We start from the raw sequence: 16109 nt of genomic DNA, 5'->3' as shown, positions 1-16109 counted from the left end.
CTGGCTTGATCAGGCAATCAAAGAAAGAAGTTCTCAACTTCACAGTTTATTTTTTAACTTTTTCCAAATGAATATTGCTGAATGCTTCCTACCCACTAAGCTGTTTTAAGGGTGACTTGTAAGATCTTTGCAAAGCATTGAGCTTCTCAAAAGGCAATTTTTTTTCTTAAGTACAAAGCAGGCCGCTTATTCTGGCTTATGGGTTAATAGTACAATGCAATTAAAAGCTGCCCTTCCTTTAAAGTTATGCCAGGGAGGGATTTACATATATTGACTTGCAGTTAAGTTACCCCATAATTTATTTGGATACGTTTGCAAGGTGCCTGGATATGCCATGACAAGGAACGCAACACATTTTTATTTGTTCGATGCCCTTGTTTTAGTTACTGCTGAGATAAATGTCATGAATCTCCTTTATCAGGAATCCGAAGTCTATTAGAGCTTTCAGACCCATACTTAGGTTGTACGTTGGGCCCTGGATCTATTATTCTTAATGGTAATAATAACAGTAGTGGGAGTGGAGCAGCAGTAGTAGCAGTAACAATGGCGATCCTCATCTTCTTGTATTTATTGAACATCTGCTCATCTTCTCTAATATATTCATTCCAGTCCTAACATTCACTCTGGAAGTAGACTTTCATTTTTCTTATTTGACAGATCAGAAAAAAGAAACTCAAGGAAGTTAAAGAACTTGCCCAAGGTCACAGAACAAGTGAGCAGCTGAGCCACGATATTAACCCAGGGCTGATCTTATTCCAAGCCCAGAACATGCTTCCTGTTATATCCTGAAGCCTCTCAGAGGACACACACACACACACACACACACACAAACACACACAGAATGCCAGTTAATGCATTTGCCCATGAGAGCCTTAAAAGGAAGGCACCATCACAAGAGCCCTGTGTGGCCAGAGAGGCCTGTCTGGAAAGGAAAGCAGCTGCAGCTCAGAGCCCCGAGGCATTTGCTCAGAGTAGGACAGGTCAGAGAGGCCTGTCTGGAAAGGAAAGCAGCTGCAGCTCAGAGCCCTGAGGCATTTGCTCAGAGTAGGACAGGTCAGAACCACTGCAGGTCAGAAGCAATGCAGCTTGCCAAGACCACCCTTAGAATCATTAGGCTGAGCTTTGAGTTTTCATACTCATCACTGGACCACAAAACATTTATAGCTCAAAAGAATGGAGTCCCTGTCTTCAGGCTGCAAGAAAGCGTGGTGAGTGGCCACTTTGCAAGTCATCAGCTTGCATGTTTGTCTTTTCCTTTTCCTGAAGAGAGGCTTCCTGATGCTTCTCCATGGCCCCGGCCTGGTTCTTACAGCTCCAGACGCTAAGCAGGGATGCATAAGAACAGGAATGAAGCCTCGATGATCCTCATGGACAACAAGTGACCATCCGAGGTTCTGAATACAGTCTCAGGCCCAGAAAGGGGGTTGAGCTAATTAATACAGATGCAACTTTTTATTTATTTTTATTTTTTTATTTTTGAGATGGAGTCTCACTTTACAGCCCAGGCTGGAGTGCAGTGGCGTGATCTCGGCTCACTACAACCTCCGCCTCCCAGGTTTGAGCAATTCTCTGCCTCAGCCTCCCAAATAGCTGGGATTACAGGCACCTGCCATCATGCCTGGCTAATTTTTGTATTTTTAATAGAGATGGGGTTTCATCATCTTGGCCAGGCTGGTCTTGAACTCCTGACCTCGTGATCCACCCGCCTCGGCCTCCAAAAGTGCTGGAATTACAGGCATGAGCCACCACACCCGGCCCAGATGTGGTAGCTTTTTAAATGGGTGATTTGAGAAATCCCTATTTGAGGCTATGACCTGCCCTTGATTTTCTAGGGTGTTAAATAACTTCACACATCTGGGAAAGGGATTTTCAAATGCTCTTATTTTAACTGGGAGCTAACAGGGAGTCTTCAGGAATCTTCCTCCCCAGGCAGAACTCAGAGTTGTCCAGATGGATACACAAATGAAAGTTTTGGGAAATATGAAAATGCATGAGATTCACTTTGAGGATTGCAGTGGACTGAATGTTTGGGTCCCTTCTCCCCCAGATTCATAGGTTGAAATGCTGACCCACAGTGCGATGGTATTAGGAGGTGGGGCCTTCAGGAGGTGATTAGGTCATAAGAGTGAAGCTCTTATGCATGGAATTAGTGCCCTCATAAAAGGGACCCCAGAGAGCTCTCTAGCCCCTTTTTCCTCCATGGGAGGATACAGTGAGAGTTTGGCATTCTGCAACCTGGAAGAGGCCCTTAATAGAACCTGAGCATGCTGACACCCTCATCTCGGACTTCCAGCCTCCAGAACTGGAGCAACATATTTCTGTTGTTTATAAGCCACCTGGTTTATGGTATTTTTTAAAGAGCAGCCTAAAGTGACTAAGACAAGATGCGTGCATGTGTGTGTGTGTGTGTGTGTGTGTGTGTTTGTGTGTGTGTGTGTATGGATGAAAATGACTTGTTTCAGCATTAACATGGTTTAGCTACTACAGGACCGTGTTTGGGGAGACAGCAGGTACTGGGATTGACAGGTATGGCCCAAGTAGGAATATGGACCAACTCTTGAACTTTCCAAAAGAAATAGAAATAAGGAGAAACCAGCCCCCCCAAAAAATCATAGTTATGTATGATAACATAGAAATGTCAAGATGGACTGAGGTACTGGAAAAGAGATCGAAGTTTGAAGTCAATAAATCTCACCCAACTGGCTGGGGACATATGGGACAAACCTGGGAACAGACAGCAGGGTAGTGCCTGCCTCCTATTTCATTTCACTCTGGGAAGACTTACATTAGGGCACAGGCAAGTGGGAAACAAACAAGTTCGTGAGACTATGGTCAAGAGGGCCAAAGCCAGAGAAAGAAAAGGTGTGAAGCCTGGTGTCCCAGAGGTATATTGTTCTTGACTAGCCAGAGTGAGTTCCGGGACTTTAGTGTTTGGGGACCAGCAGGGAAGGGAATTTCCTTCCTTCCCAGTGGACTTGGTGGTGTGGGGTGCAAGCCTATTGCTGTTAGCAGTCCTTTAGCACCACAAAGCAAGAACTGTCCTGAGGACACAGCGAACACAAAGGAAGGCTGGGCCGAGGGACACAGAGAATGATGACACTCCCCTATCCCCTGAGTCCACCGAGGCTTAAAAGGGCCTTTCAGCTTTGTGAGCCACTGAATTCTTTATTTCACTTAAGCCATTTTGAGTTGAGTTTTCTGTCACTTGAAATCAAAAGACTCCTAATAAAAGAAAGTAATGGCTTTTATCAAAGGAATCCTTCTCCCTTACCTTTTACTTTTTTTTTTTTTTTTTTGAGACGGAGTGTTGCACTGTCGCCCAGGCTGGAGTGTAATGGCATGATCTCGGCTCATTGCAACCTCCTCCTCCTCCCAGCTTCAAGTGATTCTCCCGCCTCAGCCTCCCAAGTAGTTGGGATTACAGGTGCCTGCCACCATGCCCTACTAATGTTTTGTATTTTTAGTAGAGACGGGGGTTTCACTACATTGGCCAGTCTGGTCTCAAACTCCTGACCTCGTGATCTGCTCGCCTCGGCCTCCCAAAGTGCTGGAATTACAGGTGTAAGCCACCACACCCGGCCACCTTTTAGTTTTAGAGAGTGATGGCGCAAAAGCATACCTTTATTGCCATAATTCTGTGTCACTAAGTAGCCTAGAATGCCAGAGAAGGTGCTGGCATCCATCCCCTATTGTACCTCCAGGGCTGAGTGGCAGACAAAAGAGCTTTAAGCTCCCCTTGCCCAATCACCAAGGTGCCCTGTGACTTAGGCTGGTCCTTCCACTTCCCTTCTCTGCCTCAGATTTCCTCACCTAGAATTTGTGTCTGAATGCTGTTACTTCTGAGAAGCCAAATTATGAACTTGACCCCATCCCACTGTTTTGCTGACGGATGAAGAAACTCTTGCATGTAAGGTTTGACACGTGAGGTATGGAAATGAACTATTATACACATATATTCCAGAAAACTGATGCTTTTGAGGAAGTCCAGTATGTTGAATTTCTCAAACAGCATTGCTTTGAGCTTATTATGCATTGTGCTGTTGTGCATAATTTTACTCAGGGTCCTGTTAGTTTTTGCTGAGCAGTTAAAGTATTTGAAAAGTGCAGAATAGTGTAGCCGACCATGCGACTGCAGGGAAGCGTTGAACGTGCCAGCTGCTTCCCAGCTGTCTGCTGCTGCTGATGCTTCAAGGTCACCCAGGAGCGAGGCTTTGTGAGTGATTCAGGTAGATGGATGGTCGCAGGGAGTGTAAGCCTTGTACAGCAGGAGGGCAGAACCCTGTTCTAAATCACTATAGCAAGTGAGAGGAGGATCCTTAGTTTGTCCAGCTTTTAGGAAAGTGTTAGAGATGGAACTGATTTATTCTAAACAAAGAAAGGCAGGACATATGCAGCTTTTAAATTTACATTGTCTTAAACTGTTTTACTACGTGGCTCAAATAAATATGATGCAGGAGATTTCTTAGGCAGATTTGAAACATCTGGACAGTGAGGGTTTAATCCCCAAGGCCAAGAATCCTGAGCATTTCTAATTAAAACGTCTTCCCTGAGATCGGCCAATACTCCAAGTGACTGTCACAGGACACTCCACGGTGTGTTCTCATTCTTTGTTATAACAGCAGACCACTGTAGGTACTGGGAGGCTTTTGCATTTGAGGCTCTGTGAGACTCATTCTGTAGGATTCTGATAGCCATGTGCTTGTTTAATCTTGTGACTCTGAGCATGTTTCTAAGACTGACTCTAATCCTACTTTATTGAAAGCAAAGACCTTGCCCAGGCCTTACATAGAGTTGCTGCTTCTTGGTACACAGTGCTCTTGATTCATGAGTGGAATTAATATATAATGTGAATATACAAAACCATTCTCTAATTTTTCTTGTCACTTTGGAAGCATTCTGTCATCATCTCCACTCCATAGGGCTTATAATGCTCTTTCACCTGTGGATTGCTGTGTTTGGCTCTCCCTGTAAACTAAATAGATGCTCCCTTTCATGATTTTTTAAATGAAAAGTGGCCAGTAAAGTCAAAATAATTATATACATGAGAATTAGAAAAAAATTACCCAGTAAAAATAAGGGCAATTTAATATTTATATTTCTTTTTATATTTTGTAATATCTTAGTAGGGTGCTTTCTAAATTGATTATTATTGGCTTTAGAGGTTGCGTAGTTGGAGCTTATTTGCCTGTAGTCAGGGAAGACTTTGTGAGAGAGGCATAGGACAGACTTGGGAGAAAGGAAGGAAAGAGAGATCTTAGTAGATGTTAAAGAAAATTGTTTGGGTAGGAAAAGTTTCAAAAAGCCTAATTTTAGGAGTAGTGCAGAATAGTAGAGCACTCACTTGATAGTTAACGTTATCACTGGTAAACAGGAGCCACTGGGGAAGGCTTCTGAGGGTGTTTTTCCCTGTTTTCCAAGAGGCTGTTTTAGGAAAACACCGGTGAGGGTTGAGGAGAGATGAGTGAACTCATTTTCTGTCAAATTTTGTCCCTGTGCTCCTGGAGTCAAGATTTGACACAATCTTAGTATTTGAAAAATCTAATTTAAAAACAAATGTAAAATATTGTCAGAATGAAAAATACTATTCCTTCCCCCCACCAAAATAAAATCTATACCCAGATGTACTGATGCAGTGACATAGAACTATTTCCTATTCATTCTTTGTCACTTATCCTTCCCTTGGGTGACTGGTCTGTTACAAGGCTAAAGTGACTACCTGTTTAGTTTTGCAGTAGGCAGTCATAGATGTGGCTCTGTGTTTTAATTTCCTACCAAAAGCCCTATGCTATGTTTATTTGCTATTTTAGACATTCAGAAAACTAGGGGTCAGAATAATGAGGTGATCCTCCTTTACACCCCTCAAATAATTTAATAAATCATAAATCAAATGAAAAACCAGAAATCATGTTTGTTGACTTACAGCTGCAGACTTGTTCTTGGGCACTCCCCTTCCCCTCACCTTGTCATTAGTGCAGTGTTTCCAAGCCAAATTATTTTACATGGGGTACCATATCATAAAAATGCAAACATGAGATGTCAAACTTGCATATAATAAATTTCTTCATTTATAAGTTTAGTCAAGGTGTAAATGATTTGACAAGGTGTCTCAAGATGATTGTAGAATAAGAAGTGTAATTTTAGTTGGATTTGATTTGGTAATAGATTTTAAGATTTAAAGTGAGCGAAGTACAGTGTTACACTTTTAGGAGTGAAGGAAATAGCAAAGGAAAAGTGAGGTCCGTCTGAGCAAGAAACGTTGCTGTGTGATTTTATTAACGCCAAATCCCTCAACTAGAAAACTGCACCGGGTATAATGGGCATTGTGTTCAGAGAATGTGTCTTCTCAAGTTGCTGCCTCTCCCGAGACAAGTGGCTACAAAAACTGAAGGTCCTGACTTAACTCATCACAGCTGAGTGTGTCACTGCACAAATTACTGCAGTTCCATTGCTAAAGATCATAGTTTCTTTTTGCTATATGGGGAAATGCATGTCAAAAGCCCGGTTCATCTTGATCCAAATCCTGTATACACCACAGGTAACTTATGAATGAAATAAACATGTCTTCATCCCCAGGAGAAGTTTCACTCACAACTCTAAATAAAACACTCAAATAAATGGCATTGGACCTCCCCTTTTACCAGAAGAATGTAACAGCCAGAAGTCGAAACCTTAAATCAGTCAAATTAAACTTGGGGGAAAACTCAGCAGTACTCTGATAATTTAATCTTTATGAATCACTTAAAACTGTCTGCCTCTTCATTTATTCAATTTCCCAGTTGGCTGACTTTTTGCCCAACAGCAAGCAACTTGGATTTTTTATTACTATTTTTATTAGTTGCATTTGCAGAAAGAGAAGAAACACTTTTCACCCCCTAAATATTTATGACTTTCCACTGAATGAATAGTTGAAGTTCATATTCTGTATTTAAAATATTGAGTAGTCTTGGATTTTTCTTGCTGAAATGGAAGAAATAATACTAATTTAAGGTGTAAGCACGTTAGAATCAGAGATACAAATTGTAGATGAATGCATGGTAGTCACTATGTTCAGGCCTGCTATTTGCAATGGAGATTTCTTTTCTGTTGTGTGTGTGTGTGTGTGTGTGTGTGTGTGTGTGTGTGTGTGTTTTAAGCTAACTGCAGATTCAAATGCAGTTGAATGAAACAATAGAGACAGAGCCCATGTATTCTTTACCAGTTTCCCCCAGGGATAACATTTTGCAAAACTATCACAACCTAGATATTGATGTTGATACATTCAAGATACAGAAGATTTCTATCCAAGCTTCAAATTAGTGACACGTAACAAACAAACAAACAAATACAAAAAACCAGAAGATTTCCATCACCACAGAGACCTCTCCTGTTGGAGAGCACACATACTTCCTTCCTGTCCCCATCCCTTCATAACTCCTGTCAACCTCTAATCTGTTCTCCATCTTTATAATTTTGTCATTCCAAGAATGTTATATAAATGGAATCCTACACTGTTTAACCTTTTGGGATTGCCTATTTTCACACAACATAATTCAGTGGAGATTCATCCAAGTTGTATGTGTCATTAGTTTATTTTATTATATTGCTGAGTAGTTCCGTGGTATGGATGTGTCAGAGTCTAATAAGTCATCCATTGAAGGACTTCTGGGTTGTTTCCAGTTTGGAGCTATTATGAATAAAGCTTCTTTGGACACTTGTTTATAGGTTTTTATGTGAACATAAATCTTCACTTCTCTGAGATAATTTCCAAGAATGCCATTGCTGTCTCATAATGTAGTATTTTTTTTAGTTTTCTTTTTCTTTTTTAAAGAAGCTGTAAAACTCTTTCAGAGGGGCTATACCACTTTACATCTCCACCAACAATGTATGAGAGATCAAGTTTCTTCATATCTTTGGCAGTATTTTCATGTTTTCACTATTTTTTATTGTAGCCATTCTGAGGGGTATACAGTGATAGCTCATTGGGTTTACTTTGCATTTCCTTAATGGCAAATGATTTTGATTATCTTTTCTTGAGCATATTTGCCATCTCTATAGTCTCTTCAGTGAAATGTTTATTCATGTCTTTTGCTCATTTTCTAATTGGACTTTTTTTCTACTGTTGAATTTTGAGAATTTCTTACCTATTTCAGATAGTTGTACTCTCTTAGATATATGTTTTGCAAATATTTCATTCCAGTCTGTAGCTTGTCTTTTCGTCCTCTTTTTTTTTTTTTTTTTTTTTTTTTTTTTGAGACGGAGTCTCGCTCTGTCGCCCAGGCTGGAGTGCAGTGGCGGGATCTCGGCTCACTGCAAGCTCCGCCTCCCGGGTTCACGCCATTCTCCTGCCTCAGCCTCCCAAGTAGCTGGGACTACAGGCGCCCGCCACTACGCCCAGCTAATTTTTTTGTATTTTTAGTAGAGACGGGGTTTCACCGTTTTAGCCGGGATGGTCTCGATCTCCTGACCTCGTGATCTGCCCGCCTCGGCCTCCCAAAGTGCTGGGATTACAGGCGTGAGCCACCGCGCCCGGCCTCGTCCTCTTAACAAAATGTTTTGCAAAGCAAAAGTTTTTTAGGTACACATTCTTTTCAAGCGTACATAAACTATTCTCCACAATGGACCATCTACTAGACCATAGAACAATCCTCGATAAGTTTTTAAAAACTGAAATTATACAAAGAATGTTCTCCGGCCACAATAGAATAAAATAGAAAATTAATAGCAAGAGCAAATTTGGAAATTTTCCAAATATATATAAATTAAAACACACAACCAATGGTTCTAAGAAGAAATCTCAAAGAAAATTAAAAACTACTTCAAGATGAATGAAAATAAAATATAATTTATTAAAACTTATGGAAGGTAGGAAAAGCAGTTCTCAGAGGAAAATTCATAGCTGTAAATGCCTAGATCTTTAAAATAAGGCCAGACATGGTGGTGTTCATGCCTATAACTGCAGCACTTTGGGAGACCAAGACAGAATGATCACTCGAGGTCAAAAGTTTAATACCACCAGCCTGGGCAACATAGTGATAGATGGGTCTCTTCAAAAAATTTTTTTTAAATTAGTTGGATATGGTGGTGCACACCTGTAGTTTTAGCTACTGAAGAGGCTGAGGTTAGAGGATTGCTTGAGCCTAGAAGTTAGAGACTTCAGTGAGCTATGATCACACCACTGCACTCTAGCTTGGGTGACAGGGGCAAGACCCTGCCTCTAAAAATAATAATAATAATAATAAGAAAGATATTACCAGGTATGGTGGCCTGTGCCTGTAATCCTAGCTACTCAGAGGCTGAGGCAGGAGGATTGCTTGAGGTCAGGAATTCATGACCAGCCTGGGCAACATAGTGAGACCTCTTCTCAAAAAAAATTTTTTAAAGATCTCAAATAAATCACCTAAAGAACTAGAAAAAGAAGAGTGTACAAAATCCAAAGCAAGCAGACAGAATGATTAGACTAGGGATCAATGAAAATGAAGAGTAGAAAAATGACAGAATAAATAAAATCAAAAGTTTGTTTTTTGAAAACATAAATTGACAAACCTTTAGCTAGAATGGCCAAGTTAAAAACAAGACTCAACGTACTATAATTGCTAATAAAAGTGAGGACATTATTACTAGCCTTACATAATTAAAAGGAACTATAAGAGAATTCTACGACCCCTTGTATTTCAACAAATTAGGTAACCTAGATGAAATGGAGAAATTCCTAAAGACATACAAACTACCAAAGCTGACTGAAGAATAAACAGAACATCTAAATAGACTATATAACAAGTATAATAAAAAGAATTAATCAGTAATTTTTTAAAAAACTCCCTACAAAGAAAAAGCCCAGGACCAGTTGACTTCACTGATGAATTGTATAAAATGTTGAAAGAAGAATTAACACCAATTATTCTCAAATCTTTCAAAATATACTGAAGAAAGGAACGATTCCTAACTCATTCTGTGGGGCCAGTATCATCCTGACACCAAAGCCAGAGAGTGTCATCATGAGAGAAGAAAAATTCAGACCAATTTTTCTTATGAATGTAGATGCAGAAATCCTCAAAAAATACTATCAAACCAAATTCAACACCTTATTAGGATTATACACTGTGACCAGATGAGAATGCTAGGGTGGTTTAACACATAACAATCAATTAATATGATAGATTATATTAATAGTATGGGAGAAAACCACACTTGACCATTTCAATTGATCCAGAAAAATCATTTTGCAAAATACAACACTACGTTGTGATAAAAAACATTAAACAAACTAGGATAAAAGAATGTCCTCAATCTGATAAGCCTAAATGCCCATCAGTGATAGACTACAGTAACTAAAACAGTATAGTACAGGTACAAAAACAGACACATAGACCAATGGAACAGAATAGAAAACCCAGAAATAAGGCCACACACCTACAACCTGACAAAAACAAGCAATGAGGGACAGATTCCCTGTTCAATAAATGGTGCTGGCATAACTGGCTAGCCATATGCAGAAATTGAAACTGGACCCCTTCCTTACACCATATGCAAATATTAACTCAAGTTGAATTAAAGACTTAAACGTAAAACCCAAAACTATAAAAACCCTGGAAGACAACCTAGGCAATACCATTTTGATATAGGAACAGACAAAGATTTCATGATGAAGACATCAAAAGCAATTGCAACAAAAGCAAAAATTGACAAATGGAATCTAACTAAACTGAAGAGTTTCTGCACAGCAAAAGAAACTATCCACAGAGTAAACAGACAACCTACAGAATGGAAGAAAATTTTTACAAACTATGCATCTGACAAAGGTCTAATATCCAGCATCTATAAGGAACTGAAACAAATTTACAAGAGAAAAACAACCCCATTAAAAAGTGGGCAAAGGACATGAACAGACACTTTTCAAAAGAATACATACATGCAGCCAAGCGTATGATAAAAGAAATGCTCAGCATCATCAATTATTAGAGAAATGCAAATCAAAACCACAGTGAAGTACCATCTCACACTAGTCAGAATGGCTATTACTAAAAAGTCAAAGAATAACAGATGCTGGGAAGTTGCAGAGAAAAAGGAATGCTTATACACTGTTGGTGGAAGTGTAAATTAGTTCAACCATATGGAAATCAGTGTGGCAATTCTTCAAAGACCTAAAAACAGAAATACCATTGGACACAGCAGTTCCATTACTGAGTATATACCCAAAGGAATATAAATCGCTCTGTCCTAAAGACACATGCATGTGTATGTTCATTGCAGCACTATTCACAGTAGCAAAGACATGGATACCATCAGTGTTGGGCTGGATAAAGAAAATGTGGTACATATACACCATGGAATACTATGAAGCCATAAAAAGAATGAAATCATATCCTTTGCAGAAACATGGATGGAGCTGGAAACCATTATCCTCAGCAAACTAACACAGAAGCAGAAAACCAAATACCTCATATTCTCACTTATAAGTGGGAGGCAAATGATGAGACCACATGGACACGGGAAAAACGCACACTGGGACCTATCAGAGGGTGGAGGGTAAGAAGAGGGAGAGGATCAGGAAAAATAGCTAATGGGTACTAGGCTTAATACCTGGATGATGATATAATCTATACAACAAGCCCTCATGACACAAGTTTACCTATATGACAAGTCTGCGTATGTACCCCTGAACTTAAAAGATAAAAAATAAAGAGATTAAGAGCAGCTAAAGTGGACATCCTTGCAGCTTTCCCAATCTTATGGGGAAGTAATTCAATTTTTCACCATTAAGTACAGTGTTGCTGTAGGTTTTCATTTTATTTTTTTATTTTTATTTTTTGTGACGGAGTCTTGCTCTGTCGCCCAGGCTGGAGTGCAGTGGCATGATCTCGGCTCACTGCAAGCTCCGCCTCCCGGGTTCACCCATTCTCCTGCCTCAGCCTCCCCAGTAGCTGGGATTACAGGCGCCCGCCACCAAACCTGGCTAATTTTTTTGTATTTTTAGTAGAGATGGGGTTTCACCGTGTTAGCCAGGATGGTCTCGATCTCCAGACCTCGTGATCTGCCCACCTCGGCCTCCCAAAGTGCTGGGATTACAGGCATGAGCCACTGTGCCTGGCCAGCTGTAGGTTTTTATAGATGATCTTTATCAAGTGAGGAAATTTGCATCTAATTCTATTTTTCTGAGAGTTTTTTTTTTTAAATCATGAATAGTATTGGGTCTTGTCATTTGCTTTTTCTGTGTTTATCTACATGCATATGTGATTTTTCTTCTTTCCCATGTGAGTATGGTGGCTTATACTGACTGATTTCTGTGCATTGAACCAGTCTTGCATCCCTGGAATAAACCCACATTGTCATGGTATATAATTATTTTTATATATTGCTGAATTTTATTTGCAATATATTTTTAAGGATTTTTGGATTTATATTATTGGAAGATATTGATCTTTAATTTTATTTTTTTCATGCTGTTTTTGTCAGGTTTTTGTATCAGGGTAAATACTAGCTTCATGAAATAAATAGGAAAGTGTCTCTTCCTCCTATAATTTCTGAAAGATATTAAGTATAATTATTGTTTGTTATTTTTTAAACGTGGTAGAATTCTTCAGTGAAGCCTTCAGAGCTTAGAGATTCATTTTGGGGGGAGTTTCTAAGTTACTAATTAAATGGCGTTAATAGTTACAGGGCTTTTAAAATTATGTATTTCATAATGAGCAAGTTATGGCAATTAGTGGGTTTTTTTGAGGAACTGGTCCATTTCATCAAGGTTGTAAAATTCATGCATGTAAAATTATTTGTAATATTCCCTATTATCTTTTTGATACTGGCAGGGTCTGTAGTGTATACAGTTATTTGTAATTTGTGTTTTCTCTCCCCTTTTCTTTGTCAGTCTGGTTAGAGATTTTTCGATGTTATTGATTGATATTCTCAAAGAACCAGCTCTTTGGCTCTTTGATTTTCTCATTTATTTTTCAATTTCACTGATTTTTGCTCTTTATTTCATTTCTTATGCTTGCTTTGGGTTTTCTTTGCTCTTCTTTTTCTAGATTTTTTGGGTGGGACCATAGACTATGAATTTGATACCTTTTTAATGTGTATATTTAGTGGTGTGAATTTGTCTTTCAACACTTCTTTAGCTATGTTCGACAAATCTTGATATCTTTATTTCCATTTTCTTTCAGTTCAATGTATTTCTATTTCTTCTTTTTTCTTTTTTTTGTGTGTGTTTCCATTTCTATTGAAACTTTATCTTTGACCCATGGTTTATTTAGAATTGTGCTGTTCAGTTTCCAAATGTTTGGATATTTTCCTGTTTTCTTTGTGTTATGTATTTCTAGTTTAAGTCCATTATGGTTGGAGAACAAACTCTGTATGATTTCATTTTTTAAGAATTTGTGGAGATCATTTTATGTCCCAGAAAAATGGTCTATCTTGGTACACTCTCTGTGGCCACTATAAAAGAATGTGTAGTCTACCATTGTTGGGTGGAGTGTGCAGTAAATGTTGAATAGGTAATGATGGTTGATAGTGTTACTGAGTTCTTCTATATTATCGTTGATTTTCTGTCTGGCCTTCTTATCAGTTTGTTAAGACATGGGTGTTTAAGTCTCCATCTATAATTGTGGATTTGTCTGCTTTTTCAGTTCTATCAGGTTTGGGTTCACGTATGTTTCAGTTGAGTTGTTTGACTTATGCATATTTAGGACTGATGTGTTTTCTTTGTGGATCAACCGTCCTATCATACAATGTTCGTTTCTGTCTTTGGTAAACTTCTTTGTTACGGAGTCTACTTTATCTGATATTAACAGCCATTTTTGCTTTTCTTTGATTAATGTTTGCATAGTATATATTTTTCATTTTTTATTTTCAGTTGGGCTATGTTACTATATTTGAAGTAGTAACAATATTTGAATTTCTTGTAAGTAAGAATATTTGAATTTCTTGTAGGCAGCGTAGGTCATAGTTTTTCATCTACTTGCTAATTTGTTCTGGTGTATTTATGTTTGGTGTAATTATTGACATATTAGGGCTTATATCTGTTACTAATTTTTTGTTTTGTTTGCTCTGTTTGTAATTTTCATTTGTTTTTTCCTGATTCTTGTATGTTTCTTGAACATTTTTCAGAATTCTATTTTGATTTATTAAATAAATAATATATTTTTGAGTGTATCTTTTAGTGTTTGCTCTAGGTATTAGCATTATATATAAATAATTGTTCAAAATCTACTGGTACTGTCATTTTACCTGTTCAAATGAAGTGTAGAAGTCTTTTCATGTCCATTTAGCTTCCCCTGCTTGTACCATGATGTCATGAATATTTTCTGTATATACACTTAGAACTATATTGACAACTATATAATTTTTGATTCAGACATTAAGCATAATTTAGAAGACACATGAGGAGAAGGACGTCTATTGTATTTACCCATACTTTTGCTTACTGTGTTTTTTCTTCCTTCCTGATGTTTTAAGTTTCATTCTTTTCTTTCTTTCTCTTCTTTTCTTTTCTTAGAGGACATTATTTACCTATTATTTCAGGGTAGAACATCTGTTGACACATTCTCTTAGTTTTTCTTCCTTTGATACATTCTGTTAGTTTTTCTTCCTTTGAGAATGCCTTGGAATGAAATTTTCTTCATTCCAAAAGGATATCTTCACTGTATATAGGAATCTAGGCTGACAATTATTTTCTTTCAGCACTTAAAAACATATTGTGCTATTTCTTCCTGACCTCTATGGTTTCTAATAAGAAATCTGCAATAATTCAGAATTTTTCCTTTTTAGATAAGGTGTTTCTTTCTTGTTGCTTTCAAGAGCTTTTTTTTGTGTTTATATTTTAGAAGCTTGACTATAATGTGTTTTGGTGTGAATTTCTTCAACTTTACTTCCAACTTCTCTCCTTCTGGGACCCTGATTTTAGTTCTTTAATTACAGTCCCATGGGTTTTGGAGACTCTGTTCATTTTTTTTCTTCAGTCTGTTTTCTCTCTGTTGTTCAGATTGCAGACAGCAGTCTGTTGTTCTGTCTTCCAGTTCAATGATTCTTTTCTCTTCCCTTCATTCTGCTGTTGGGAACTTTATTTTTAAAATTTTAGTTATTGGTCAGGCACTGCAGCTCACACCTGTAATCCCAGCACTTTGGGAGGCCGAGGCCGGTGGATCACTTGAGCTCAGGAGTTCAAGACCAGTGTGGCCAACATGATGAAACCCCATCTCTATTAAAATACAAAAATTAGCTGGGTGTGGTGGCATGCACCTGTAGTCCCACTTACTTGGGAGGTTGAGGTGGGAGAATCACTTGAACCCTGGAGGTGAAGGTTGCAATGAGCTGAGATGGTGCCACTGCACTTCAGCCCGGATGACAGAGCAAGACTCTGTCTCAAAAAAAAAATTAGTTACTGTATTTTTCAGTTGTAAAATTATTATTTGATTCTTCTTTATTTATTCTATTTCTTTGCCAAGTCTTGCTTTTTTTTTTTTTTTTTTTTTTTTTTTTTTTTTTTTTTTGCTGAAGCTCTATTTTTTCATTTATTTCAAGTGATCTTAATTGCTCATTGAAACATTTTTATGGCGGCTAATTTAAAATATTTGTCAGATAATTTCATCATCTCAATTTTGGCATCTATTGTCTTTTAAAATTCATTTTGAGGTCTTCCTGTTTGTTTCTGATTGTAAGTACTTTTCTATTCAACTCTGGACATTTTGGGTGCTATTATGTATTATGAGCCTCTGGATAATATTTACACCTTTGTTTCAGCTAGCTGTTACTGACACCATTCTGGCAGGAGAAAAGGGGTTGCTGCTTTGTTACTTTCAGATGGGGTTAGAAGTCCAGGTTCCCTACTCAGCCTCTATTGACTCTTGAGATGGGAGAGGGTGGAAAGTTTCTTGTTATTGCTTGATAGGGGGTGGGAGTTCAGATTCCCCACTAAGCCTTTATTGATACTTTCCTGAATGGGAGGGATAGTGGTACCTCATTACTGCTCCCCATGTGGCCTCCTTACCCAGGAAAATTATGAAAGTCTGAACTCAGTCTCTTTTGGCACCATCTCAACAGGAGGGGAAGAGGCACCTCATTATTGCCTGGCAAGGGAGGAAGTCTAGGTTCCTCACTCAGTCTTTGCTGGTGACACAGGATTCTTTGGGAGGCCACTTCAC

At 38.5% G+C, this 16109-nt stretch overlaps 1 protein-coding gene across 8 annotated transcripts in view, besides 2 other annotated features; it reads left to right on the top strand.

The window, feature by feature from the left end:
- PCNX2 (pecanex 2) overlaps window positions 1–16109 on the top strand; it is a 343895-nt gene that overhangs the window by 244506 nt on the left and 83280 nt on the right. The gene's annotated exons all lie outside the window — the stretch shown is intronic.
- Window positions 2412–2911: an enhancer, noted in NCBI's record as "NANOG-H3K4me1 hESC enhancer chr1:233215659-233216158 (GRCh37/hg19 assembly coordinates)". NCBI's record gives its function as "activates a minimal SCP1, AML or CMV promoter by ChIP-STARR-seq in primed H9 embryonic stem cells {active_cell/tissue: H9 hESC(primed)}" and the evidence as "EXISTENCE:reporter gene assay evidence [ECO:0000049][PMID:30033119]".
- Window positions 2912–3413: an enhancer, noted in NCBI's record as "NANOG-H3K4me1 hESC enhancer chr1:233215157-233215658 (GRCh37/hg19 assembly coordinates)". NCBI's record gives its function as "activates a minimal SCP1, AML or CMV promoter by ChIP-STARR-seq in primed H9 embryonic stem cells {active_cell/tissue: H9 hESC(primed)}" and the evidence as "EXISTENCE:reporter gene assay evidence [ECO:0000049][PMID:30033119]".

The sequence above is a fragment of the Homo sapiens genome, chromosome 1, assembly GCF_000001405.40.
Source record: "Homo sapiens chromosome 1, GRCh38.p14 Primary Assembly".
In the NCBI taxonomy this organism is placed as follows: domain Eukaryota; kingdom Metazoa; phylum Chordata; class Mammalia; order Primates; family Hominidae; genus Homo; species Homo sapiens.
Note: the sequence above shows the minus strand (reverse complement) of the source record. Positions and strands in the feature narration are given on the sequence as shown.